Source organism: Homo sapiens, chromosome 19 (assembly GCF_000001405.40).
Source record: "Homo sapiens chromosome 19, GRCh38.p14 Primary Assembly".
Taxonomy (NCBI): Eukaryota; Metazoa; Chordata; class Mammalia; order Primates; family Hominidae; genus Homo; species Homo sapiens.
Genome location: NC_000019.10, coordinates 17,824,675 through 17,850,527, shown reverse-complemented (window position 1 = coordinate 17,850,527; position 25,853 = coordinate 17,824,675). Strand labels below are relative to the sequence as shown.

Genomic DNA, 25,853 nt, shown 5'->3' with positions numbered 1-25,853 from the left:
CCCCGTGTCCCTGACATCCTGCTCTTCTCAGGAACACTGTGAATTCGTGAAGCCTCCAGGCCTTTGCCTGGGCTGTTCTGCCTGCCAGAACTGCCCACACTCCCACATTCTCAGGTCACTCTCTGGCTAGTCCCACTTGTTGTTGGATTTCAGAATCAAAGCCACCTCCTCCAGGAAGCCCTCCCAGATCCAGTCATCTCTCTTAGCAGACCGGTCCCAGGGGCAACTGATATAATTATTGGGCAATAGCTTGTTTATTGCCATCTCCCCTGCTGGACTGTCAGCTCCCCTGGACAGGGATTGGGTCTGCATTGTCCCCGATTCCCTGCACACAGGCTGTGTCCAATAAGCCTCTGGCTGATTGAACAGTTAAGATCAACAAAATACTTACCAAACCATTTTGTGTTAAGACTTGTGATGGTGATACAGAGATGAAAAGTCTTTTTTTTTTTTTTTTTGAGACGGGATCTCACTCCCATTGCCCAGGCTGGAGTGCAGTGGCATGACCACAGCTAACTGCAGCCTCAACTTCCTGGGCTCAGGTGATCCTCCCACCTCAGCCTCCCCTAGTAGCTGGGACTACAGGCACATGCCACCACATCCAGCTTATTATTTTGTTGTTGTTGTATTTTTTGTAGAGACAGGGTTTCACCATGTTGCCCAGGCTGGTCTCGAACACCTGGGCTCAAGCCATCCTCCTGCCTGAGCCTCCCAAAGTGCTGAGATTACAGGTGTGAGCCACTGTTCTTGGCCACAACTTCTTAAATCTATTCCTTTTTTTTTTTTTGAGACAGAGTATTGCTCCGTCGCCCAGGCTGGAGTGCGGTGGCACAATCTCAGCTCACTACAACCTCCGCCTGCCTCCTGGGTTCCAGTGATTCTCCTGCCTCAGCCTCCCAAGTAGCTGGGATTACAGGCACATGCCACCACGCCCAGCTAATTTTTATATTTTTAGTAGAGATGGGGTTTCACCATGTTGGCCAGGCTGGTCTCGAACTCCTAGGCTCAAGCAATCTTCCCACCTGGGCCTTCCAAAGTGCTGGAATTACAGATGTGAGCCACTGTACCCGGTCACCACTTCGTCAGTCTATTCCTGAAGCTCTACTTCCGGGGCTCTGATCCTATTATCCTAAGAACACTGGCCCAAGTCTCTGCATTTGGATGCTGCCCGGGCCTTCTGCCTCTTCTATTTATAACAGCTCCTACTTCCAACTCTCCTGTGGCTCCAGATTATGCTCCAGGCAAAACCCACCCTTCTCCCAAAGACCCTGATCCCCCTGTCCCCCCACGATCTTGCCCCTGTTGACCGCCCTGCAGTCCCCTTCCCCCTCATCTCACCCCTGCCCCTGGCCTCCTGACTGCTCTTCAAGCTGCTAAGATCACTGCCCTCTCAAGGTCTTTGCCCATCCTGTGCCCTCCTCCTGGAGCACCCTTTCCCTGGCCAGCTCCCTGTCCTGCCTCGGGTCCAAGTTCCAGTCTGTGCCTGTCCTGACACCCTGGCTTTCTTTGTTGTCTGCGATGATTTGGCTCCTTCATTTGCTCATTGTCTCAGCGCCAGATCACAAGTTCCAAGAGGCCAGGCCGGATCCACCTGGTTTTTTAGGGCTGGGCCCAGGGCACCACAGGCAGAAATGGGTCATTATCTCTCCCTGAGTCTTTTCTTTTTTTTTTAAACGAAGTCCCGCTCTGTTGCCAGGCTGGAGTGCAGTGGCGCCATCTCGTCTCACTGTAACATCCGCCTCCTAGATTCAAGCAATCCTCCCACCTCAGCCTCCTGAGTAGCTAGGATTACAGGCATCACCAGGCCTGGCTAATTTTCCTGTTTTTAGTAGAGACAGGGTTTCATCATGTTGGCCAGGCTGGTCTCAAACTCCTGACTTCAAGTGATCCGCCCGCCTCAGCCTCCCAAAGTGCTGCGATTACAGGCCACCACGCCTGGCTAATTTTTGTATTTTTAGTAGAGACGGAGTTTCGCCATGTTGGCTAGGCTGGTCTCAAACTCCTGACCTCAAGTAATCGCCCGCCTCAGTCTCCCAAAGTGCTGGGATGACAGGCGTGAGCCACTGCGCCCAGCGTCTCCCTGAGTCTTAAGGGAGAAATACCTCAAAGAAGAACTTGACCTTCCTCTGGGGCAACTTCCCTGCTTCCCTCCTGGGCAAATCCAGCCAGGTTTCCTTCCCTGGGTGCAAAATTAGTTCCACTGGGTGCCCAACTCACACATGCTACAGATGGGTAAACTGAGGCAATAAGGGCCGGGCCAGAGCCCCACTTAACAAGTGGGTCTAGAGTCGGCTGAGCCCCTGGTGTGACCCAGACCCTTCTCTGTGCTATCATCAGTTCCTTTGGCTTAGGGGTCTCCAGCAGCCTGTCTGAACGGGGCGGCTGATGCAGAGGCTTCCGGAACTTTCTGCCCCTCCTTGCCCGCCTCCCCGCCCCCAGCTCCCGCAGGGCCCTGACTTTCGGTAAATGACAGTGGCTCAGGAAACCAAGGGGCCCACACAGGAAGGAGCCGAGTGGGACTTTCCTCTCGCTGCCTCCCGGCTCTGCCCGCCCTTCGAAAGTCCAGGGTCCCTGCCCGCTAGGTAAGAGCTGGCGATGCCGCAGGGCTCGGCCCAGACACTGGGGGAGGATGGTGGTGGCGGGGGATGGCTGGGCTGGGGCAGGGTGCTGCCAGGGCAAAGGCTAGCTCGCCTTCCAGGCCTCGGAGGAAAGCTGCGAGGCAGACGTGAGCCGAGACTCGCATCCTCCGATCGCTCGCTTCTCTGGGCTTCGGCTTTGACTAAGGCCGGGAGATGCCTGCCTTGCGGACCTGGAGGAGTCATTGCGCATGCGCGACGGGGGCTGCGGGGTTGGGGGTGGGGAGGAGGGATTGGGAAGGAGGGATTGGGGGGCGGAGTTCCCAGCCCCTACCCTCCAGGCCTTCCCGGTCCAGACACAGGGTACCCGACCATACCAGGATGCAGAACGTTGAGGATTATAAACAGGGGATGCCGAGGCGGGAGGATAGCTTGAGGCCAGGAGTTCAAGGCCAGCCTGGGCAACATAGCCAGACCTCCATTTCTACAAACATTTTTAAAAAACCAAAAAAACTATGGCGTTTTCTGGGACCAAACATCACCTCTGACTTTTCATTTTTTTTTGTTACAGTATTACAGAATAATAATATTCTGTTAAGATTTTTTTGTTGTTTTGGAGATGGGAGTCTTGCTATGTTGTTCAGGCAGGTCTCTAACCCCTGGCCTCAAGCTATCCTGCTGCCTCAGCCCCCTGAGTAGCTGGGATTGCAGTGGGGCGCCACTGCCACTGAAGCCTTATTTTAAACTCGACTGGGGCTGGGCACAGTGGCTCATGCCTTTAATCCCAACACTTTGGGAGGCTGAGGCCAGCGGATCACTGGAGGTCAGGAGTTCGAGATCAGCCTGGTCAACATGGTGAAACCCTATCTCTACTAAAAACACAAAAATTAGCCAGGTTTGGTGGCGGGTGCCTGTAATTCCAGCTACTCAGGAGGCTGAGGCAGGAGAATCGCTTGAACCTGGGAGGTGGAGTTTGCAGTGAGCCGAGATCATGCCACTGCACTCCAGCCTGGGAGACAGAACAAGAATCCGTCCTCCCCCCTACAAAATAAATAAATAAATAAAAAGGCTGGGCAATGTGGCTCACGTGTGTAATCACAGCACTTTGGGAGGCCAAGGCAGGCGAATCACCTGAGGCCAGGAGTTTGAGACCAGCCTGGCCAACATGGTGAAACTCCGTCTCTACTAAAAATACAAAAATTAGCTGGGCGCTGTGGTGCGCGCCTGTAATCCCAGCCACTTGGGAAGCTGAGGCATGAGAATCGCTTGAACCCAGGAGGCAGAGGCTACAGTGAGCCAAGATCGTGCGACTGCACTCCAGCCTGGGTGACAGTGCGAGACTCCGTCTCAAAAAAACAAACAAACAAACCAAAAAACTTGATTGGCTGATGTTGAGGGGACGATAGAGAGGCTATGGTGTGTGATTTTATTTCTATAAAGGGCAAAACTAGACATCAATCTCTCTGTGGGAGAGATGGGGCTCCTCCAAGGTTCCCGGGACTAGGAATGTGCTCATTCTTGGTCTGGGCATCGGTGACATCAAAGTGTCCCTTTGGTAAGGTTCTTTCCCCCACAAGACTTCCCTTCCCACAGTAACCACCACACCGCTGTGCCAATTGCCCTTCCTGTTTGGTTTAACAGGCGTTTGTTGATCGCTTACCGGCACATCATCAAGAAATATACAAATTAATGCACATTAATTGAGTTGACACTTTAGGCCTGGATTGCGCTCAGCAGACCACCTCAATGAGGATGCTGGGGAGTCAGCCCATTTCACAGCTGCGAAAGCTGAGTCCTAGGGGTCCTAGTCCTCTGATTGTCTTAAACCTCATTAGGCCAGGCGCAGTTTCTCACGCCGGTAATCCCAGCACTTTGGGAGTCCGAGGCAGGAGGATCACTCGAGGTCAGGAGTTCCAGACCAGCCTCGCCAACATGGTGAAACCCCGTCTCTACCAAAAATACAAAAATTAGCCGGGCATGGTGGCGTGCCCCTGTAATCCCAGCTACTTGGGAGGCTGAGGCAGGAGAATCACTTGAACCCAGGATGCAGAGTAAGCCGAGATTGTGCCACTGCACTCCAGCCTGGATGACAGAGCTAGACTCTGTCTCAAAACAAAAACAAAAAAACCCTCATTAATGCCGCCCCACCCCAGCCACAGGGCATTATTTTGGATCATAGTTTTTGTATTGTGTTTTTTTTCTAGAGATAAGGTCTTGCTCTGTCGCCCAGGCTGGAGTGCAGTGGTGTGATCATAGCTCAATGCAGCCTCAACTTGCAGAGCTGAAGGCATCCTCCTGTCTCAGCCTCCCAAGTAGCTAGGACTATGGGGGTGTGCCACCATGCCCTGCTAATTTTTTAGAGATGAGGTCTCAAAATCCTAGCCTCAAGTGATCCACCTGCCTCGGCCTGTCAAAGTGCTGGGATTACAAGGCTTTTTTTTCTTTTTGAGAGGAGGTCTCACTATATTGCCCAGTCTGGTTTCAAACTCCTGGTCTCGGCCAGGCGCGGTGGCTCACACATGTAATCCAGCATTTTGGGAGGCTGAGGCAGGCTGATCACTTGAGGCCAGGAGTTTGAGATCAGTGAAACCCCATCTCTACTAAAAATACAAGAAAATTAGCTGGGCGTGGTGGTGCCCACCTGTAATCCCAGCTACTGGGGTGGCTGAGGCACGAGAATCTCTTGAACTTGGGAGGCGGAGGTTGCAGTGAGCTGAGATTGCGCCACTGCACTCCAGCCTGGGTGACAGCGCGAGACTCTGTCTCAAAAAAGCAAAAAACATAAAACAAACTCCTGGTCTCAAGCTATCCTTCCTTCTTGGCCTCCGGAAATGATGGGATTACAGACATGAGCCACTGCGCCCTGCTGGAACTTAGGTTTTTGTTTGTTTTTCCCAACACTTTCTTCAGATCTTCTTCATTCAGGTCAATTTGAGTGACCTCCTTTTTCTCCCCAATTTTTCTCAGGGGACTCGAAGCCCCACCCCTGGCCCCACCCAGCTGAGGGCCCTGAGTGCTGAGGTTTCTCAGGGCAAGTGAGCGAGCGGGTGGGAGGTGTTGGGGGCTGGAAGCAGGGGGCCAGTTTCCTCCTGGGCCCATCCCAGGGAGGCTTTCCTTCTTTCTTTCTTTCTTTCTTTCTTTTTTTTTTTTTTTTTGAGACAGAGTCTGACTCTGTTGTCCAGGCTGGAGTGCAGTGGTACAATCTTGGCTCACTGCAACCTCTGCCTCCCAGGTTCAAGTGATTGTCCTGCCTCAGCCTCCCGAGTTGCTGGGATTACAGGAACGCACCACCACACCCGGCTAAGTTTTGCACTTTTTAGAGGCAGGGTTTCGCCATGTTGGCCAGGCAGGTCTCAAACTCCTGACCTCAAGTGATCCTCCCGCCTCGGCCTCCCAAAATGCTGTGATTACAGGCATAAGCCACCGCACCCGGCCTCCAGCACTCCTTTCCATGCCCTCCCTGCTCAGAAGTCCAATCCCCTCTGACCAGGACTGAGGGGCTTTTTCTCTCTGTGCCCCAGGCAAGTTGCACTCATGGCACCTCCAAGTGAAGAGACGCCCCTGATCCCTCAGCGTTCATGCAGCCTCTTGTCCACGGAGGCTGGTGCCCTGCATGTGCTGCTGCCCGCTCGGGGCCCCGGGCCCCCCCAGCGCCTATCTTTCTCCTTTGGGGACCACTTGGCTGAGGACCTGTGCGTGCAGGCTGCCAAGGCCAGCGGTGAGTGCATCCCTAGTGGATCGGGCCAGAGGGAAGGATGGGGCTGTGTGGGGCCAAGATTGGAAGCTGGAATAGTTGCCTGCAGAAGTCAGCATCGGAGCTGGGGCTTTGGGGGATGAGTAGGAGTTTTGTAATGGAGAAGGGTGTGCAGGGTTGGCTTCTGAGGCAGAGGGAATGGCCTGTGCAGACGGAGAGGTGTGACGGCACATGAAGGGAACAGCTGGTCATACCTTGAGGTATGGAAGGATCTGGACGGTTGGGTATGATGCTGGCACTCCTGAAGGGCACAGATGGGGTGACTCAGGAGGGAGCTGATGGGACCATCCCCTGTAGGCATCCTGCCTGTGTACCACTCCCTCTTTGCTCTGGCCACGGAGGACCTGTCCTGCTGGTTCCCCCCGAGCCACATCTTCTCCGTGGAGGATGCCAGCACCCAAGTCCTGCTGTACAGGATTCGGTAGGAAGTGCCCCCCAGCCCCCAGGGATTGTACAATTTTATCATCTCCTTGCATTTCGAGGTGCCCACACCCCTGCCCCAGGGAGGTATGGTCACTACCCATTTCTCAGATGAGGAAACAGACCAGAGAGGGTGGGTCACTTGCCCAAGGTCACACAGCAAGTTAAAGGTACAAGCTGGGCTCTGTGAGGCCTCCGCAGAATCTGTCCCTCGCCCCCACCATAATGTCACTCCTACTGAGGCTGGGTTGCACTTTCATCCCAGGGTTCTCTCCTCTCCTCACAGCTTTTACTTCCCCAATTGGTTTGGGCTGGAGAAGTGCCACCGCTTCGGGCTACGCAAGGATTTGGCCAGTGCTATCCTTGACCTGCCAGTCCTGGAGCACCTCTTTGCCCAGGTGGGGTTCTGCCTGGGGTTTGACCCAGGGGGTTGGGGGTCCAAGGGGCAACATGAGGACTGGCATGCAATCAGGTGGGGCCTCGTCTGACCCTCCCTGTGGCAGTCCAGGGGTGGGGGTCAGCCCAGGATTGGGGGGGTCTGCAGGTTAACAACAGGGCTTGAAGTTGGGTGGCCTCAGCTGATGCTCCCTGTGGCGGCCCCCCAGCACCGCAGTGACCTGGTGAGTGGGCGCCTCCCCGTGGGCCTCAGTCTCAAGGAGCAGGGTGAGTGTCTCAGCCTGGCCGTGTTGGACCTGGCCCGGATGGCGCGAGAGCAGGCCCAGCGGCCGGGAGAGCTGCTGAAGACTGTCAGGTGAGAGCCACCAGGCTGTGGGGACGGCCTCTGCTTGGGAGTGAGCAACGTGGGCTCCATCGGGGCTTTGCCGGGCTCCCACCATGGAGTTCTCCTGCAAGCTTTCAGGGTGTTCCTATGACCCAGGGCCTCCCACGAACCCAGCCCTCTCCACCCCCAGGCTCCAGCTGGACAGACACCTGACCTCCCCCAGCTAAAAGGCCTGTGGGGTCCCTGTCCGACCTGTGGGCGCCAATGGCCCTCCCCTACTCTGAGGTCCGGTCCTCATACCTGACCCTGAATGAGAGTCTGTGTGTGCCTGGTGCCCCAACTAGGGCCGCACCCCAGCCCCTGGGCTAAAGCCTGGGTTTGTGTGTGTCCCCGCGGGGACCCCTCCCGACGCTGAGGGCCGGCTCCCTCCCCTCCAACCCCTGCAGCTACAAGGCCTGCCTACCCCCAAGCCTGCGCGACCTGATCCAGGGCCTGAGCTTCGTGACGCGGAGGCGTATTCGGAGGACGGTGCGCAGAGCCCTGCGCCGCGTGGCCGCCTGCCAGGCAGACCGGCACTCGCTCATGGCCAAGTACATCATGGACCTGGAGCGGCTGGATCCAGCCGGGGCCGCCGAGACCTTCCACGTGGGCCTCCCTGGGGCCCTTGGTGGCCACGACGGGCTGGGGCTGCTCCGCGTGGCTGGTGACGGCGGCATCGCCTGGACCCAGGGAGAACAGGAGGTGAGGGCGGACTCCCCCGCTGGGCGGGGCCAACGTGGGGGCGGGGCTCGGGGAGGGGCCGGAGAGTGGTAGGGGATGTGGGGCGGAGCCAAAACGAAAGACTTGGGGAAGTGGGCGAGGCTTAATGAGGGGCGGGGCTTAGTGAGGGAGGAGACTGCGGGAATGGGAGGGGCAAACTGAGTGAAGGGTTGGGCTGAGCGACCCGGGAATGAAAATGGGAGGGGTTGAGGAGTGGGTGGGTGGGCGCTGGAACGAGGCAAGACTAAGAGGCAGAGTGAGGCTCCGAGAGCTGGGAGGCTGCGAAGCGGGGCAGGGATCAAGGGGCGGGGTCCGGCAGAGAGAAGGAGGCGGGGATTGGCAGAGCGGGTGGGAGATGTTTGGGGATGGGTAGGGGAGGTGTTGAGAGGTTGGAGTTGATAGGAGGGGGCGCGGCTTGGAAGGGTTGAATGGCAAAGGGATAGGGAGTGGATGGTGTGGCTTGGGGGTGGGTTCATGGGCGTGGTTTGGCGGGGTCCAGCTGGGCCCCCACTTCGGTACTCCCCCTCCTTCCCAGGTCCTCCAGCCCTTCTGCGACTTTCCAGAAATCGTAGACATTAGCATCAAGCAGGCCCCGCGCGTTGGCCCGGCCGGAGAGCACCGCCTGGTCACTGTTACCAGGACAGACAACCAGATTTTAGTGGGTGCAGGATTCCCCTCCCCTTCAGCCTTACCCCGAGGGCGGGACCGGCACCCTCGGGTTTCACTGGGCTCTGACGCTTGTCCCTCGCAGGAGGCCGAGTTCCCAGGGCTGCCCGAGGCTCTGTCGTTCGTGGCGCTCGTGGACGGCTACTTCCGGCTGACCACGGACTCCCAGCACTTCTTCTGCAAGGAGGTGGCACCGCCGAGGCTGCTGGAGGAAGTGGCCGAGCAGTGCCACGGCCCCATCACGTAAGGACCTGTCCCCCATTCCCGGCCTCTGTGGCCACTCAGGGCCCCTCCCCTTCTCTATGCCTCAGTGTCCTCACCTTCCAGGAGCCCTGGACAGGGGTCAAGTTTTCAAACCACACCTGCCGCACAGTCAGCGCTCAGTGAAGCTGAAGTATTCCTTCTGCTTCACAGGGCGACCACTACTCTCTCTCTCTCTGACCCCAGGGCCATTTCCTGGAGATGGACAAGTCGCCCACCTTCACCTACAGCCTCTTGTTTAATCTCCCAGGAAGGGCCAGGCATAGTGGGGCACACCTGCAATCGCAGCGCTTTGAGGGGCCAAGGCAGGAGGATTGTTTGAACTCAGGAGTTGGAGACAAGTCTAGGCAACAGGAGAGACCCCATCTCTACAAAAAAAGAAAAAAAAATAGCTGGGTGTGGTGGTTGACCTGTAGTCCCAGCGACTCCGGAGGCTGAGGCAGGAGGATCACTTGAGCCCAGGAGTTGGAGGCTGCAGTGAGCTGAGATTGCACTCCAGCCTGGGCAACCAAGCAAGACCCTGTCTCTATTAAAACAAACAAACAAACAAACAATCTCCCAGAAGAGGCCAAGACTTACGGCTGATTTTCTTTTTTCTTTTTTTTTTTGAGACGGAGTCTGGCTCTGTCGCCCAGGCTGGAGTGCAGTGGCACGATCTCGGCTCAATGCAACCTCTGCTTCCCAGGGTCACGCCATTCTCCTGCCTCAGCCTCCCGAGTAGCTGGGACTACAGGTGCTCGCCACCACGCCCGGCTATTTTTTTGTATTTTCAGTAGCGACGGGGTTTCACGGTGTTAGCCAGGATGGTGTTGATCTCCTGACCTCGTGATCCACCTGCCTCGGCCTCCCAAAATGCTGGGATTACAGGCGTGAGCCACGGCGCCTGGCCCATGGCTGATTTTATAAATGGGGGGAGGGTGTCACCTGGCAAGGATCCCAGGGCTACAGAGGTACCTGAATTTGAGCCCAGGTCTCTCTGTCTTCTTCTATCTCTGACTCCTCCCCATTCCCTCTCACCTTCCCCCACAGTCTGGACTTTGCCATCAACAAGCTCAAGACTGGGGGCTCACGTCCTGGCTCCTATGTTCTCCGCCGCAGCCCCCAGGACTTTGACAGCTTCCTCCTCACTGTCTGTGTCCAGGTCGGTCTACTGCTAGGGTGGGTAGTGGAGGGCTGCCTGGAGGAGGTGACGTTTGAATTGAGATTTAAAAGATCAGTCAGCATTTGGTTCCTGAAGAATAGGAGGGAAAAGACACCCCCGGTGAACAGAACAGCATATTCAAAGGTCTAAAGACTGGAATGAGTTCATGGTGCTTTAGGAGAAAGGACTGAGGCTGGGCACAGTGGCTTACGCCTGTAATCCCAGCACTTTGGGAGGCTGAGGTAGGCAGATCAAGAGATCAAGAGATCGAAACCATCCTGGCCAAAATGGTGAAACCCTGTCTCTACTAAAAATATAAAACTTAGCTGGGCGTGGTAGTGGGCATCTGTAGTCCCAGCTACTCGGGAGGCTGAGGCAGGAGAATCGCTTGAACCTGGGAGGCGGAGGTTGCAGTGAGCCAAGGTCACGCCATTGCACTCCAGCCTGGGTGACAGAGCCAGACTCCGTCTCCAAAAAAAAAAAAAAAAAAAGAAAAAAAAGGAAGAAGGACTGAGAAGGAGAGTGTCTGTCGCTCAGTCCCACTCAGGGGCCACTCTTCTTTGCAGAACCCCCTTGGTCCTGATTATAAGGGCTGCCTCATCCGGCGCAGCCCCACAGGAACCTTCCTTCTGGTTGGCCTCAGCCGACCCCACAGCAGTCTTCGAGAGCTCCTGGCAACCTGCTGGGATGGGGGGCTGCACGTAGATGGGGTGGCAGTGACCCTCACTTCCTGCTGTATCCCCAGACCCAAAGGTGAGCCCCTTCCTCCCCTGGAATGAGTGGCTGATCTGGGACCCTGGCTTTCTATGTCTGTGACAGCTCCTGTGTGGGTGGCAAGTGGCAGAAACTGCAGGTCAAGGTGGGTTAGGGAAGAAAAGGTGATTTGTTGGCTCAGGAAGTTAGAGATATATAACCTTTAGGTCTGGCTTGATCTAGGCACAGCTAGATGTGAGCCATGTCATCTGCACCTAGTCTCTCTCCAGCTCTCAGCTCTTCCTCTGGGTGAATTTCACTCCTGGACAAACCCCTCTGATGGGACAATTCTGAGATGTGAGTTCTTCTGAGTCTCCCAGAATCCCTGGTAGAACCGATCCCTGGTTGTCCACAGTGCCACTTGCTCATTAAAGCCCCCTGCAGGGCTCCTTCCTTCCTTGTCGCTCATCCCAAATCCCTATGGGGGCTTTCTGGATCTCCTTTCAAATAAACCATGTGCCAGCCAGGCACAGTGGCTCACGTCTGTAATACCAGCACTTCGGGAGGCTGAGGCAGATGGATCACCTGAGGTCAGGAGTTTGAGACCAGCGTGGCCAACATGGTGAAACTCCATCTCTACTAAAAATACAAAAATTAGCTGGGTGTGCTGGCACACTCCTGTAGTCCCAGCTACTTGGGAGGCTGAGGCAGGAGAATTACTTGAACCCAGGAGGCAGAGGTTGCAGTGAGCCGAGATCACACCACTGCACTCCAGCCTGGGTGACAGAGCGAGACTCTGTCTCAAAAAAAAAAAAAAAAAAAAATTAGCCGGGCACGGTGGCACACACCTGTAGTCCCAGCTATTCGGGAGGCCGAGGCAGGAAAATCGCTTGAACCTGGGAGGTGGAGGTTGCAGTGAGCTGAGATCGCACCACTGCCCACCCAGCCTGGATGACAGAGTGAGACTCCGTCTCAACAGCAGCAGCAACAACAAAACAAAAACAACAACAAAAAGCCATGTGCCCTGAAGTCTTCATCTCAGGGTCGGCTTCTAGAGGGTACCTCAAACTAAGGCATGAGTTAGCTAACCCTTGGGGACTTTTCACCTCTGATTTCTGGTTTTTCTCCCTCATCCTCTCCCCATAGAAAAGTCCAACCTGATCGTGGTCCAGAGAGGTCACAGCCCACCCACATCATCCTTGGTTCAGCCCCAATCCCAATACCAGCTGAGTCAGATGACATTTCACAAGATCCCTGCTGACAGCCTGGAGTGGGTAAGAGGCCCTGGGAAATGAGGCGATACCTCAGTCTGGGGTCCAGAGACTCAGATGCGTGGCCTCAGGCATATGCTATAATTTTACCTTGCCTCGGTTTTCCCATCTGTAAAATGGGGCCAGCAGCTATGTCTCGCTTGGGCTGGGATCCTGCAGGAACCCCCTCACTGGCCTCTTCTGCTGTCCCCTCACCATTCAGCATGAGAACCTGGGCCATGGGTCCTTCACCAAGATTTACCGGGGCTGTCGCCATGAGGTGGTGGATGGGGAGGCCCGAAAGACAGAGGTGCTGCTGAAGGTCATGGATGCCAAGCACAAGAACTGCATGGAGGTGAGAGCAATGTGGACCAGACTTTTGGAGTCGGGGCTGGCTGGAGAGGGGGTCGTGGATGCAGAGAAATTTAAAAACACACAGGGACCTGGGCGTGGTGGCTCATGCCTGTCATCCCAGCACTTTGGGAGGCTGAGGCAGGAGGATGGTTTGAAGCCAGGAGTTCAAGAACAGCCTAGGCAACATAGCGAGACCTCGTCTTGACAAAAAAATTTTAGGCCGGGCGCGGTGGCTCACGCCTGTAATCCCAGCACTTTGGGAGGCTGAGGCGGGCAGATCATCTGAGGTCGGGAGTTCGAGACCAGCCTGACCAACATGGAGAAACCCCGTCTCTACTAAAAATACAAAATTAGCCGGGCGTGGTGGTGCATGCCTGTAATCCCAGCTACTCGGGAGGCTGAGGCAGGAGAATTGCTTGAATCTGGGAAGCGGAGGTTGCAGTGAGTCAAGATCGCGCCACTGCACTCCAGCCTGGGTGACAGAGGGAGACTCTGTCTCAAAAACAAAACAAAACAAAACAAAAAACCATAGATGATAGTGGGAACTTCTGTCCCGTATCAGAAAATCATGGTAGTGCTGTGTGCACTAATGGCAGACTCCAGGGCCAAAGGTGACCTGTGGCCAGGTGTTCCCCTAAGGCAGGTCTGTGAGCACAAAATTTGGGATTATTGGAGTGGAAGAAACCCACGCATCTTCTCTCCCTTCCCACCTTCCCCAGTCATTCCTGGAAGCAGCGAGCTTGATGAGCCAAGTGTCGTACCGGCATCTCGTGCTGCTCCACGGCGTGTGCATGGCTGGAGACAGTGAGAGCCCCCCACCCACCCACCCCACCCCTGCCTCACCCAAGTCTAGGCTGTTCTTCCCACCTCTGTTCTGAGCCGCTATATGACAGCCCCAGCAACACACTGGGCCACCCTGGATGGGAGCCGTGTTCATTACCCTTTATTTATGTCTCTCCATCATCACTCCTTGGAAAGCGGCTCCAGGTTCTCACCCATATCCAGCCCCAGAATGACCTGAAGTCAGACAAACCTGGCTTTCTAATCTCTGCAGCTTTGTACAGGTCACGTAACCTTTCTGAGCCTTGGTTTCATTGGTTGGGAGTCTAGGATGGGCCAGGAGCTGGGACAGAGCCTAGAATGTGACAGGCAGGGTGTGATGAGGTGTGAGGAGGGCAGCACGGAGCACTGTGGATGGTCAGAGAGGCTGCTGGGCCAGCCTGGGGGTTGGGCAATGCTTGTGGGAAGACAGAGATGCATTCTAACCTGGAAAGATAAGGACAAGTGTGGATTAGGAAAGGAAGAGGGGTGTTCTAGGCAGAGGACACAGAATATGCAAAGGGTTAGAAGTGAGATACAGAGGCTGGGCGTGGTGGCTCATGCCTGTAATTGAAAAGCCGAGGCGAGTGGATCACCTGAGATCAGGAGTTCAAGACCAGTCTGGCCAACATGGCAAGACCCCGTCTCTACTAAAAATACAAAATCAGCCGGGTGTGGTGGCATGCGCCTGTAGTTCCAGCTACTTAGGAGGCTGAGACAGGAGAATCACTTGAACCCGGGAGGCAGAGGTTGCAGTAAGCCGAGATCGCACCACTGCACTCCAGCCTGGGCAACAGAGTAAGACTCTGTCTCAAAAGAAAAGAGAAAAAAAAAAGTGAGATACAGATACAGACAGGGCTCAACACCTTCCAGGCATTCCAGGCAAATCATTCAGAGATGGAGGTGGGAGGAGAGGTGAGTACTGTATGAACAGAGGCAGCAGGGGAGGGAACAGACAGAGATGAGAGTTTGAGAGACCCTGAGAGCCAGGGTGTTGGCAGAACCTCCTCAACACAAGTGCAGTTCAGTCTCCCAACCCCGCCTCTCCCTGCTGCCAACCAGGCACCATGGTGCAGGAATTTGTACACCTGGGGGCCATAGACATGTATCTGCGAAAACGTGGCCACCTGGTGCCAGCCAGCTGGAAGCTGCAGGTGGTCAAACAGCTGGCCTACGCCCTCAACTATCTGGTGAGTGCTCCTCTGCCTGCTCCACCCTCCATTCCCAGGGAAGGCTTTCTCTGGGTGGAAGAGGAATTGGGAGTGGGCTCTGTAGTATGCATAGGAGTTTGGTAAGGGTTCGAGGGGAGGGCATTTTAGGTTCAGGTTGTGAGAACACTAGAAGAGAACAAGTCATTCTTGGATGTCAGGGCGTGTGGTGAATGACGAGGCTGGGCAGGAAGAAAGGCTTCCTAGAAGAAGGAACATTGGAGATAGGGCCTTAAAAGTTGAGTAGAAGTTCATCAAGAGAAGAAAGGAAGGAAGGAATGTCAGGCTGAGGGAACAGCCTAGGCAAAGGCCTGCAGGCTAGATAGTGTGTTGCATCCCCTGGGGCCTATCAGGCAGTTCTGTTGGCAGGAGACCAGGGTGCAAGTGTGGAAGGGAAGTTCATTGGAAGCTTGAGCAAGGGCCTTGAATGCCAGGCTGAGGAGCTTTCACTTTGTGTCAAAGGCACTGGGGAGTCACAGGATGGGGTGGTGTTTGAGAAGGGGAGGGACATAGCCAGGTCAGTGTAGGGGGTGAACTAGAGGGGCAAGACAGGATGTCAGGAGTCAGGGACGATGCTGGAGCATGTCTGAGCAGTACCAAGTGGGTTTTGAAGGATGTATAGGAGTTTGCCAAACAGACTCTTCATTCATCAAACCCTCCCGGGCATTTTCCTGTGTCTGGCCCCCTTAGGAGGACAAAGGCCTGCCCCATGGCAATGTCTCTGCCCGGAAGGTGCTCCTGGCTCGGGAGGGGGCTGATGGGAGCCCGCCCTTCATCAAGCTGAGTGACCCTGGGGTCAGCCCCGCTGTGTTAAGCCTGGAGAGTAAGTTCCTGGAGGTGGAGGAGGGAGGGGCTGAGCAGGGCAAGGAAGTGGATCCCTGATCCCACTTTCATTCCCTCAGTGCTCACCGACAGGATCCCCTGGGTGGCCCCCGAGTGTCTCCGGGAGGCGCAGACACTTAGCTTGGAAGCTGACAAGTGGGGCTTCGGCGCCACGGTCTGGGAAGTGTTTAGTGGCGTCACCATGCCCATCAGTGCCCTGGATCCTGCTAAGGTCAGAGCCCCTCACCCGGCATCGGTCTCCGAACCCCCACTTTGACAGAAGGGCAGACTGACATCCAGTCTGGGGAGATTGGGGTGGGTCTATTGGGTTGGGGATTACCGACTGCTCCTCTCACCCTCAGAAACTCCAATTTTATGAGGACCGGCAGCAGCTGCCGGCCCCCAAGTGGACAGAGCTGGCCCTGCTGATTCAACAGTGCATGGCCTATGAGCCGGTCCAGAGGCCCTCCTTCCGAGCCGTCATTCGTGACCTCAATAGCCTCATCTCTTCAGGTGCCCGCTGGGACGGGTTGGGTGGGGAGGGCTGTGATGTCATATTGGGCCCAGTGGAAGGAGCGTGGTTTGCAGCAGGCCACGCCCTGTGTGTCTGGTGAGGTTGGAGGGGTTGGTGACTGTGACAGTCAGTGTGAGCTTCAACAGCTACTGTAACGAACAGTCCCCTCAGTTCAAGGTTCAACATGATGATATTTTATTTATTTATTTATTTTTGAGACAGAGTCTTGCTCTGTTGCCTAGGCTGGAGTGCAGTGGCACAATTTCGGCTCACTGCAACCTCTACCTCCTTGAACCTCTAGTTCAAGCGATTCTCCTGCCTCAGCCTCCTGAGTAGCTGGGATTACAGTGTGTGCCACCACGCCCAGCTAATTTTTGTATTTTTGGCAGATATGGGGTTTCACCATATTGGCTAGGCTGGTCTCGAACTCTTGACCTCAGGTGATCCGCCCACCTCTACCTCCTAAAGTGCTGGGATTTCAGGTGTGAGCCACCATGTCTGGTCTATTTCATTCTTTTAAAAAAATGTTTGGCTGGGCGCAGTGGCTCATGCCTATAGTTCCAGCTATAGGTAGGTGGATCGCTTGAGCCCAGGAGTTCAAGACCAGCCTGGGCAACATGGCAAAACTCCATCTCTACAAACAAACAAACAGAAAATTAGCCAGGCATGGTGATGCATGCCTGTATGCATTTTTATTTTATTTTATTTTATATTTTTGAGACACTATCTCCCTCTGTCACCTAGGCTGGAGTGCAGTGGCGTGATCCTGGCTCACTGCAACCTCTGCCTCCCTGGTTCAAGCAATTCTCCCGCCTCAGACTCCCAAGTAGCTAGGATTACAAGGGCGTGCCACCAAACACGGCTAAATTTTTGTATTTTTTAGTAAAGACAGGGTTTTGCCATGTTGGCCGGGCTAGTCTTGAACTCCTGGTCTCAAAGAGATCCGTCCACCTCAGCCACCCAGTGCTGGGATTACAGGCATGAGCCACCACACCAGGCTGGATTTTTTTTTTTTTTTTTTTTTTTTCTGTGATGGGGTTTTGCTATGTTCCCCAGGCTGGTCTTGAATTACTGGCTCAAGCAATCCTCCTGCCTTAGTCTCCCAAATAGCTGGGATTACAGGCACACACAACCATGCCCAGTGTGATATTTAGTCTTCATTCAATGAGGGTGTCCAGGCCCACAGGAACCTCTCACTTAGTGGCTGCACTCACCTCAGGCGTTGGGTCCCCGTTGGATCCTCTGCAGATAAAAGAGAGAGTGTGGAGGGCCCCGTATTAGGTTTCCATGGGTCAGGACTGGAGGGGCACCCAGCATATCTTGTCCATCAGCCTGAGCTCAGTCATGTGGCCACATTTCATAGCAGTGGAACTGGGGAAATGAGTTCTCATTATGTCCTCCATCTTTGTAGCCATGTGGAGTTGCACAGGGTGTGCACTGCACGAGGAGGCTTCCTTTGCCTGGGACAGAGTGGGAGACACCTTTTTCCAGTCTCCACAAGGTACCCTTTGGCTTGCAATGGCCCTGCCATAATGCACAGAGAGGGTCAATATGCAGATGGAGGTTGCACAGCAAGTCAACTCAGGAGTGGGGCCCAGGATGAGAGGCGCTGCTTACCACTGCCCATGCCCCCACCCCAGACTATGAGCTCCTCTCAGACCCCACACCTGGTGCCCTGGCACCTCGTGATGGGCTGTGGAATGGTGCCCAGCTCTATGCCTGCCAAGACCCCACGATCTTCGAGGAGAGACACCTCAAGTACATCTCACAGCTGGGCAAGGTAAGGTGGGCAGGGCCAGGGTGGGTTGGAGAGGGCAGGGCAGCATCCAGGTGCCTGGACATCAGTCCCGCTATCCCCCAGGGCAACTTTGGCAGCGTGGAGCTGTGCCGCTATGACCCGCTAGGCGACAATACAGGTGCCCTGGTGGCCGTGAAACAGCTGCAGCACAGCGGGCCAGACCAGCAGAGGGACTTTCAGCGGGAGATTCAGATCCTCAAAGCACTGCACAGTGATTTCATTGTCAAGTATCGTGGTGTCAGCTATGGCCCGGGTGAGCCAGCTCCCGGATGAGTGAACCAAGACGTATGGGTGCTTTTCAAAGTGCACATTCTTACCCTCCTGCCAGGCCACTTTAGGTAGGCTGGGAACGTGATTATTGATCCAGATTCACATGGGTTACAGGTTTGAATCCTGACTCTACCCCTTACCAGTTGTGAAACCTTAACTTTTCTGAGCCTCAGTTTCTCCAGCTGAAAAATGGGCCATTGTGATATTTACTTTGTTGTTGTTGTTGTTTGTTTGTTTTTTTGAGACAGAGTCTCGCTCTGTCACCCAGGCTGGAGGCAGTGGCTCAATCTCGGCTCACTGCAACCTCTGCCTTCCAAGTTCAAGTGATTCTCCTGCCTCAGCCTCCAGAGTAGCTGGGATTACAGGAGCGTGCCACCACACCCGGCTAATTTTTGTGTTTTTAGTGGAGATGGGTTTTCACCATGTTGGCCAGGCTGGTCTTGAACTCCTGACCTCAAGTGAGGCTTCCAAAGTGCTGGGATTACAGGCGTGAGCCACTGCACCTGGCCGTGATATATAAACACATCAATGTATGTTGTAGAAAGTACTCAAGAGATATTAGCAATGTGTCATTGTTGCGGTTCCCATATTACAGTCAGCAAAACTGAGGTCGAGAGGGACACAAGGTCCCACTGTGAAAGGGGGGAAGAATGGGGGGACGAGCAGGGCTGGGCCCTGCTGTGACAGATCCTGCCTTCTCCAGGCCGCCAGAGCCTGCGGCTGGTCATGGAGTACCTGCCCAGCGGCTGCTTGCGCGACTTCCTGCAGCGGCACCGCGCGCGCCTCGATGCCAGCCGCCTCCTTCTCTATTCCTCGCAGATCTGCAAGGTGCGAGGGGGCGCCCCGGGACTTGTGGGGATTCAGCTGGCACGGCCTGGGCAGGGGTCTGCTTGGAGGTCGCGGTGAAGGCTGAGGAGTGGTTTGGGGTCCAGGTCTCGGGAGTGGTGGGGTTGGCTTAGGGCTCAGGATCAGAACTTCAGTGGAGGATGGCTCGGGGGTAGGGTTATAGTTGGGGTCTGGGTTGGGGTGCCAGGTCACGCTTGGGGTACCTGCCGGATTATCCTGGGATCCTCTCTGCACGCTCACACCGCCCGCCCGCAGGGCATGGAGTACCTGGGCTCCCGCCGCTGCGTGCACCGCGACCTGGCCGCCCGAAACATCCTCGTGGAGAGCGAGGCACACGTCAAGATCGCTGACTTCGGCCTAGCTAAGCTGCTGCCGCTTGACAAAGACTACTACGTGGTCCGCGAGCCAGGCCAGAGCCCCATTTTCTGGTGGGGAACCCGCGCCTAGGCTCCGCCCCTATTCCCCACGGCTCTGGCTCCGCCCCCAGCCATGCCCCCGCCCCCTCCCGCTGCTTTGCTCCCCAGCCTTAGCCCCGCCCTTCCTCCGCTGCAGCTTTGGCCCCTCCCACTCCCCAGAGCCCCGCCCCCTCAACAGCACTGGCTCCTCTGTCTCCCGCTGCCCTGCTGTCAGCGGCCCCCAGCCTTAGCCCCGCCCTTCTCTCAGCTCTCGCCCCGCCCAAGCTTCAGAACCCCACCCCTCCAACACGCTGGCTCCGCCCCTCAGGGCTGGCCCCCTCTTAGTTCCGCCCTTCCCCCCGCCCAGTTCTGGCCCCTCCCCCTCCCACGGCTCTGGCCCCGCCCCCATCTCCGCCCCTCCGTGCTGCCCCCGCCTCCTCCCCACAGCCTTAGCTCTTCCCAGGCACCTCCCAGGGCTGGAGAATCCACCTATCCCACAGCCAGGGAAACCGAGACCCTGGAGACGGGACTGACCTGCTCACAGTCCCCACCTACCCTGACCAGTTCCCCATTCCAAGGCTGCCCCCCTCTTCCTGTCCTTTCTACACCCTCGCATCTCAAGACCTTGTCCCCTCTCCAGGTATGCCCCCGAATCCCTCTCGGACAACATCTTCTCTCGCCAGTCAGACGTCTGGAGCTTCGGGGTCGTCCTGTACGAGCTCTTCACCTACTGCGACAAAAGCTGCAGCCCCTCGGCCGTGAGTCGGCTTCCCAGAGCCCCCAGCCTTCTTCTCCCTCCACGCCCCTCGTGGCCAATCTCCAACCTGTCTGCGCCTGCGTCCCTCTTTAGCATGGGGTCACCTGGTCCCAGCATCATAGGCCCCAGTGGGGAGGACGCTTCCTCACCTTTCTGACCCCTTCACGGTTCAGGCAGCCCCTCCCCGCTCCATCACAGATGGCCCCTACCCCCACCACGGGTGGCCCCTCCCCCTCCACCCACGGAGGCTCCTCCCCCACCACATGCGCTCCTCCTTGGCTCCAGGAGTTCCTGCGGATGATGGGATGTGAGCGGGATGTCCCCGCCCTCTGCCGCCTCTTGGAACTGCTGGAGGAGGGCCAGAGGCTGCCGGCGCCTCCTGCCTGCCCTGCTGAGGTGAGCGCCGCAGGGCTAGCCTCAGTTTCCCAGTCTGTAGATTGGGCCGGGGTCTCGGGCAAGCCAGCTGGCGCCTGAGTCTCTGTACTGAGAAGAAAGGCTAGAGTGTGAGGCCGATGAGGATCCTGGCCCCCACTTGGCTACTCTCTCACTGTGTGGCAAGTCAGAGCACTTTCAGAGCCTCAGTTTACCCTTTTCCAAAATGAGAATAGTAATGCCTTATAGGGTGAGGGAAGATTAGACTCCTGAACACCTGTGCCTATGAGGGCTCAGCTCAAAGCCGAGCACACAGTCGATGCTCCATAAATGGTGGTGACGTTCATGGTTTTTTTTTTTCTTTCTTTCTTTCTTTTTTATAGATGGGGGCTCACTCTGTTGCCCAGGCTGGGGTGCAATTATAGCTCACTGCAGCCTCCAACTCCTGAGCTCAAGTGATTCCCCTAGTTCAGTGTCTCTAGTAGCAGGAGCTACAGGTGTACACCACCACACTTGGCTAATTTAAAAATAATTTTTTAGAGATGGGAGCCTCACTATATTGCCCAGGCTGGTCTTGAACTCGTGGGCTCAAGCGATTCTCCTGCCTCAGCCTCCCAAAGTGCTGGGACTATAGGTGTACATCACCATGCCTGGCTAATTTAAAAATAATTTTGGCCAGGTGTGGTGGCTCACACCTGTAAACCCAGCACTTTTGAAGGCTGAGGCGGTCAGATCACCGGAGGTCAGGAGTTCGAGACTAGCCTGGCCAACATGGTGACACCCTGTCTCTACTAAAAATACAAAAATTACCCATGTGTGGGTGCCTGTGATCTCAGCTACTTGCGAGGCTGAGGCAGGAGAATTGCTTGAACCTGGGAGGGGAAGGTTTCAGTGAGCCAAGATCATGCCACTGCACTCCAGCCTGGGCGACAGAGCAAGATTCCATCTCAAAATAAATAAATAAATAAATAAACAAACAAATAAGATAAAAATAATTTTTTTAAGAGACAAGGTCTCGCTATGTTGCCCAGGCTGGTCTTGAACTCCTGGGCTCAAGCGATCCTCCTGCCTTGGCCTCCCAAAGTGCTGAGATTTACAGGCATAAGCCACTGTGCCTGGCTAATTTTAAAAAATTTTTTTAAAGAGATGGGGTCTCTCTGTGTTGCCTAGGCTGGTCTTGAGCTCGTGGGGTCAAGTGATCCTCCTGCCTCGGCCTCCCAAAGTGCTGGGATTACAGACGTGAGCCACCACATCCCACCCTCTCATGGTTTATAATCATATAATCATAACCTTTGTGGAAGTGTCTGACATGCAGTTGGTCATTGATAAATTAATTTGCTCAGGCCAAAAACATTTATTGAGTGCCAACTGTGTGCCAGGACTTGTTGGGTGCTGAAGACCCTGTCCTCCCAGTAACTAGCAAAATCTGATAAGAACATTCTAGGCTGGGCACGATGGCTCATGCCTATAATCCCAACACTTTGGGAGGCTGAGGCAGAAGGATCACTGGAGCCCAGGAGTTCAAGACCAGCCTGGGCAACGTAGTGAGACCTTGTCTCTACAAACAATACAAGCAATAGCCGGTGTGGTGACATGCACCTGTGGTTTCAGCTACTAGGGAGGCTGAGGCAGGAGGATCACTGGAACCCAGGAGTTCAAGACCAGCCTGGGCAACATAGTGAGACCTTGTCTCTACAAACAATACAAGCAATAGCCGGTGTGGTGACATGCACCTGTGGTTTCAGCTACCAGGGAGGCTGAGGCAGGAGGATTGCTTGAGCCCAGGAGGTTAAGGCTGCAGTGAGCCATTATTGTACCACTGCACTCCAGCCTGGACAACAGAGTGACACCCTGTCTCAAAACAAAACAAAACAAAACAAAACAAAACAAAACAAAACAAAACAAAGACAAAATTATGGTAGTGATAAGTGCCTTGAAAGAGATGAACAGAGGGAAATGGTGGGGTGGGGGTGGTCAAAGAGGGCCTCTTACGGGGCCGACGCTGGAAGGAGGAGGAGCCTACCCATGAGTAAAGCTAGGAGAAGAAATTTCCAGTGGAGGACACGGAAGGGAAAAAGGCCTTGGGGAGGTAATGAGCTGGGTGCCTTTAAGCACCAGTGCGATGGAGGCAGATGTGACTGCCCGGAACAAATGAGGGAAGGAGGGATGGAGATGAGCGAAGGAGGGCATCAGGGAGAGGTGGTGTTTTTTTGTTGTTTTTTTTTTTTTGAGACGTGGTTTTGCTCTTGTTGGCCAGGCTGGAGTGCAATGGCGCAATCTCGGCTCACCACAACTTCCGCCTCCCAGGTTCAAGCAATTCTCCTGCCTTAGACTCCCGAGTAGCTGGGATTACAGGCACACGCCACCTGTAATTTTTTTTTTTTTTTTTTTTTTTTTTTTTTTTTTTTTTTTTTAGTTAAGATGGGGTTTCTCCATGTTGGTCAGGGTAGTCTCGAAAGGAGAAGTGTGTTGTAAAATCCATAAGGGCTGGGCGCGGTGGCTCACACCTGTAATCCCAGCCCTTTAGGAGGCCGAGGTGGGTGGATTACATGAGGTCAGGAGTTCAAGACCAGCCTGACCAACATGGTGAAACCCCGTCTCTACTAAAAATACAGACTTAGCCAGGTGTGGCGGTGTGTGCATGTAATCCCAGCTACTTGGGAGGCTGAGGCAGGAGAATCGCTTGAACCCAGGAGGCAGGGTTTGCAGTGAGCCGAGATCGCACCACTGCATTCCAGCCTGGGCAACAAGAGCGAAACTTTATCTCAAATAAATAAATAAGTAAGATCCATAGGGAGCCATGGGAGTTTTTGGAGCAGAGATGGGATGGAATTTAATTTGTGTTTTAAAACTGAATGAGTGCGGTGGCTCATGCCTATAATCCCAGCACTTTGGGAGGCCAAGACAGGTGGATCACCTGAGATCAGGAATTTGAGACCAACCTGGCCAACATGGTGAAACCCTGTCTCTACTCAAAATACAAAATTAGCCAGGCGTGGTGGCACGTGCCTATAATCCCAGCTACTCAGGAGGCTGAGGCAGGATAATTGCTTGAACCCGGGAGGCGGAGGTTGCAGTGAGCCGAGATCATGCCATTGCACTCCAGCCTGGACAACAGAGCTAGACTCCGTCTCAAAAAAACAAAAACAAATACGCTGAATGGGAGTTGTGTCCTTTGGACTGCTCAGGCACGACCCCATTATCTGTCCCCCGCCCCTCAGGTTCACGAGCTCATGAAGCTGTGCTGGGCCCCTAGCCCACAGGACCGGCCATCATTCAGCGCCCTGGGCCCCCAGCTGGACATGCTGTGGAGCGGAAGCCGGGGGTGTGAGACTCATGCCTTCACTGCTCACCCAGAGGGCAAACACCACTCCCTGTCCTTTTCATAGCTCCTGCCCGCAGACCTCTGGATTAGGTCTCTGTTGACTGGCTGTGTGACCTTAGGCCCGGAGCTGCCCCTCTCTGGGCCTCAGAGGCCTTATGAGGGTCCTCTACTTCAGGAACACCCCCATGACATTGCATTTGGGGGGGCTCCCGTGGCCTGTAGAATAGCCTGTGGCCTTTGCAATTTGTTAAGGTTCAAGACAGATGGGCATATGTGTCAGTGGGGCTCTCTGAGTCCTGGCCCAAAGAAGCAAGGAACCAAATTTAAGACTCTCGCATCTTCCCAACCCCTTAAGCCCTGGCCCCCTGAGTTTCCTTTTCTGTCTCTCTCTTTTTATTTTTTTTATTTTTATTTTTATTTTTGAGACAGAGCCTCGCTCTGTTACCCAGGGTGGAGTGCAGTGGTGCGATCTCGGCTCAGTGCAACCTCTGCTTCCCAGGTTCAAGCGATTCTCCTGCCTCAGCCTCCCGAGTAGCTGGGATTACAGGTGTGCACCACCACACCCGGCTAATTTTTTTTATTTTTAATAGAGATGAGGTTTCACCATGATGGCCAGGCTGATCTCGAACTCCTAACCTCAAGTGATCCTCCCACCTCAGCCTCCCAAAGTGTTGGAATAATAGGCATGAGCCACTGCACCCAGGCTTTTTTTTTTTTAAATTTATTATTATTATTTTTAAGAGACAGGATCTTGCTACGTTGCCCAGGCTGGTCTTGAACTCCTGGGCTACAGTGATCCTCCTGCCTTATCCTCCTAAATAGCTGGGACTACAGCACCTAGTTTTGAGTTTCCTGTCTTATTTCCAATGGGGACATTCATGTAGCTTTTTTTTTTTTTTTTTTTTTGAGACGGAGTCTCGCTCTGTCGCCCAGGCTGGAGTACAGTGGCGCAATCTAGGCTCACTGCAAGCTCCGCCTCCTGGGTTCACACCATTCTCTCGCCTCAGCCTCCCAAGTAGCTGGGACTACAGGCGCCCGCCACCACACCCGGCTAATTTTTTGTATTTTTAGTAGAGACGGGGTTTCACCTTGTTAGCCAGGATGGTTTCCATCTCCTGACCTCGTGATCTGCCCGTCTCGGCCTCCCAAAGTGCTGGGATTACAGGCATGAGCCACTGCGCCCGGCCCTCATGTAGCTTTAAATGTATGATCTGACTTCTGCTCCCCGATCTCTGTTTCTCTGGAGGAAGCCAAGGACAAGAGCAGTTGCTGTGGCTGGGACTCTGCCTTTTAGGGGAGCCCGTGTATCTCTTTGGGATCCTGAAAGGGGGCAGGAAAGGCTGGGGTCCCAGTCCACCCTAATGGTATCTGAGTGTCCTAGGGCTTCAGTTTTCCCACCTGTCCAATGGGACCCTTTCTGTCCTCACCCTACAAGGGGCACAAAGGGATGACACCAAACCTGGCAGGAACTTTTCACGCAATCAAGGGAAGGAAAGGCATTCCTGGCAGAGGGAACAGCATGCCAAGCGTGAGAAGGCTCAGAGTAAGGAGGTTAAGAGCCCAAGTATTGGAGCCTACAGTTTTGCCCCTTCCATGCAGTGTGACAGTGGGCAAGTTCCTTTCCCTCTCTGGGTCTCAGTTCTGTCCCCTGCAAAATGGTCAGAGCTTACCCCTTGGCTGTGCAGGGTCAACTTTCTGACTGGTGAGAGGGATTCTCATGCAGGTTAAGCTTCTGCTGCTCCTCCTCACCTGCAAAGCTTTTCTGCCACTTTTGCCTCCTTGGAAAACTCTTATCCATCTCTCAAAACTCCAGCTACCACATCCTTGCAGCCTTCCCTCATATACCCCCACTACTACTGTAGCCCTGTCCTTCCCTCCAGCCCCACTCTGGCCCTGGGGCTGGGGAAGTGTCTGTGTCCAGCTGTCTCCCCTGACCTCAGGGTTCCTTGGGGGCTGGGCTGAGGCCTCAGTACAGAGGGGGCTCTGGAAATGTTTGTTGACTGAATAAAGGAATTCAGTGGAAAAGATTTTGTGCTGGACTTGGGGCGATGGGGAGCCTCAGAGGGTGTGTGAGCTGGGAGGGATGCGGTTAGAGCTGTGGGCCAGAGACCTCTCAGGGAGCCACTGTGGGG

The 25,853-nt window shown here is 54.8% G+C and overlaps 1 protein-coding gene across 4 annotated transcripts, besides 6 other annotated features; it reads left to right on the top strand.

Moving 5' to 3' along the window:
- On the top strand, window positions 2,546–25,746 carry JAK3 (Janus kinase 3). Of its 4 annotated transcripts, none has more exons than NM_000215.4 (24): window positions 2,546–2,582; window positions 6,098–6,294; window positions 6,628–6,751; window positions 7,037–7,148; window positions 7,356–7,501; window positions 7,918–8,212; window positions 8,766–8,888; window positions 8,982–9,139; window positions 10,187–10,298; window positions 10,865–11,051; window positions 12,138–12,265; window positions 12,465–12,596; window positions 13,315–13,399; window positions 14,477–14,604; window positions 15,313–15,445; window positions 15,525–15,676; window positions 15,807–15,957; window positions 17,599–17,738; window positions 17,820–18,009; window positions 18,730–18,854; window positions 19,128–19,300; window positions 19,908–20,025; window positions 20,310–20,420; window positions 23,618–25,746. In NM_000215.4, exons 2-24 carry the CDS (start codon window positions 6,111–6,113, stop codon window positions 23,783–23,785), a joined length of 3,375 nt encoding a protein of 1,124 aa, NP_000206.2. In that variant the 5' UTR covers window positions 2,546–2,582; window positions 6,098–6,110; the 3' UTR covers window positions 23,786–25,746. The 4 variants fall into 4 exon arrangements, 3 of the variants coding, with proteins under 3 accessions (NP_000206.2, NP_001427368.1, XP_011526293.2); NM_001440439.1 differs by having other exon boundaries at window positions 6,067–6,294; XR_007066796.1 differs by lacking the exons at window positions 19,128–19,300; window positions 19,908–20,025; window positions 20,310–20,420; window positions 23,618–25,746 and having other exon boundaries at window positions 17,820–18,094; window positions 18,730–18,806.
- Window positions 8,229–8,465: a silencer, noted in NCBI's record as "fragment chr19:17952872-17953108 (GRCh37/hg19 assembly coordinates)". NCBI's record gives its function as "represses an EF-1alpha promoter that drives an FKBP-Casp9 reporter gene in an ReSE screen in K562 erythroleukemia cells {active_cell/tissue: K562}" and the evidence as "EXISTENCE:reporter gene assay evidence [ECO:0000049][PMID:32094911]".
- Window positions 8,247–8,336: a silencer, noted in NCBI's record as "silent region_10361". NCBI's record gives its function as "represses an Ori minimal core promoter by ATAC-STARR-seq in GM12878 lymphoblastoid cells {active_cell/tissue: GM12878}" and the evidence as "EXISTENCE:reporter gene assay evidence [ECO:0000049][PMID:35858748]".
- Window positions 18,306–18,889: an enhancer, noted in NCBI's record as "H3K27ac-H3K4me1 hESC enhancer chr19:17942448-17943031 (GRCh37/hg19 assembly coordinates)". NCBI's record gives its function as "activates a minimal SCP1, AML or CMV promoter by ChIP-STARR-seq in naive H9 embryonic stem cells {active_cell/tissue: H9 hESC(naive)}" and the evidence as "EXISTENCE:reporter gene assay evidence [ECO:0000049][PMID:30033119]".
- Window positions 18,890–19,474: an enhancer, noted in NCBI's record as "H3K27ac-H3K4me1 hESC enhancer chr19:17941863-17942447 (GRCh37/hg19 assembly coordinates)". NCBI's record gives its function as "activates a minimal SCP1, AML or CMV promoter by ChIP-STARR-seq in naive H9 embryonic stem cells {active_cell/tissue: H9 hESC(naive)}" and the evidence as "EXISTENCE:reporter gene assay evidence [ECO:0000049][PMID:30033119]".
- Window positions 18,890–19,495: a biological region, named in NCBI's record as "H3K27ac-H3K4me1 hESC enhancer GRCh37_chr19:17941863-17942447".
- Window positions 19,446–19,495: a silencer, noted in NCBI's record as "silent region_10360". NCBI's record gives its function as "represses an Ori minimal core promoter by ATAC-STARR-seq in GM12878 lymphoblastoid cells {active_cell/tissue: GM12878}" and the evidence as "EXISTENCE:reporter gene assay evidence [ECO:0000049][PMID:35858748]".

What these genes read in the sequence shown, in the direction of transcription:
- JAK3 (NM_000215.4), top strand. Translation starts at nt 6,111, where the DNA reads ATGGCACCTCCAAGTGAAGAGACGCCCCTGATCCCTCAGCGTTCATGC. An exon ending in GTCCTGCTGTACAGGATTCG is followed by an intron (nt 6,752 to 7,036) that starts GTAGGAAGTGCC and finishes CTCTCCTCACAG; the next exon opens with CTTTTACTTCCCCAATTGGT. An exon ending in CAGTGCCACGGCCCCATCAC is followed by an intron (nt 9,140 to 10,186) that starts GTAAGGACCTGT and finishes CTTCCCCCACAG; the next exon opens with TCTGGACTTTGCCATCAACA.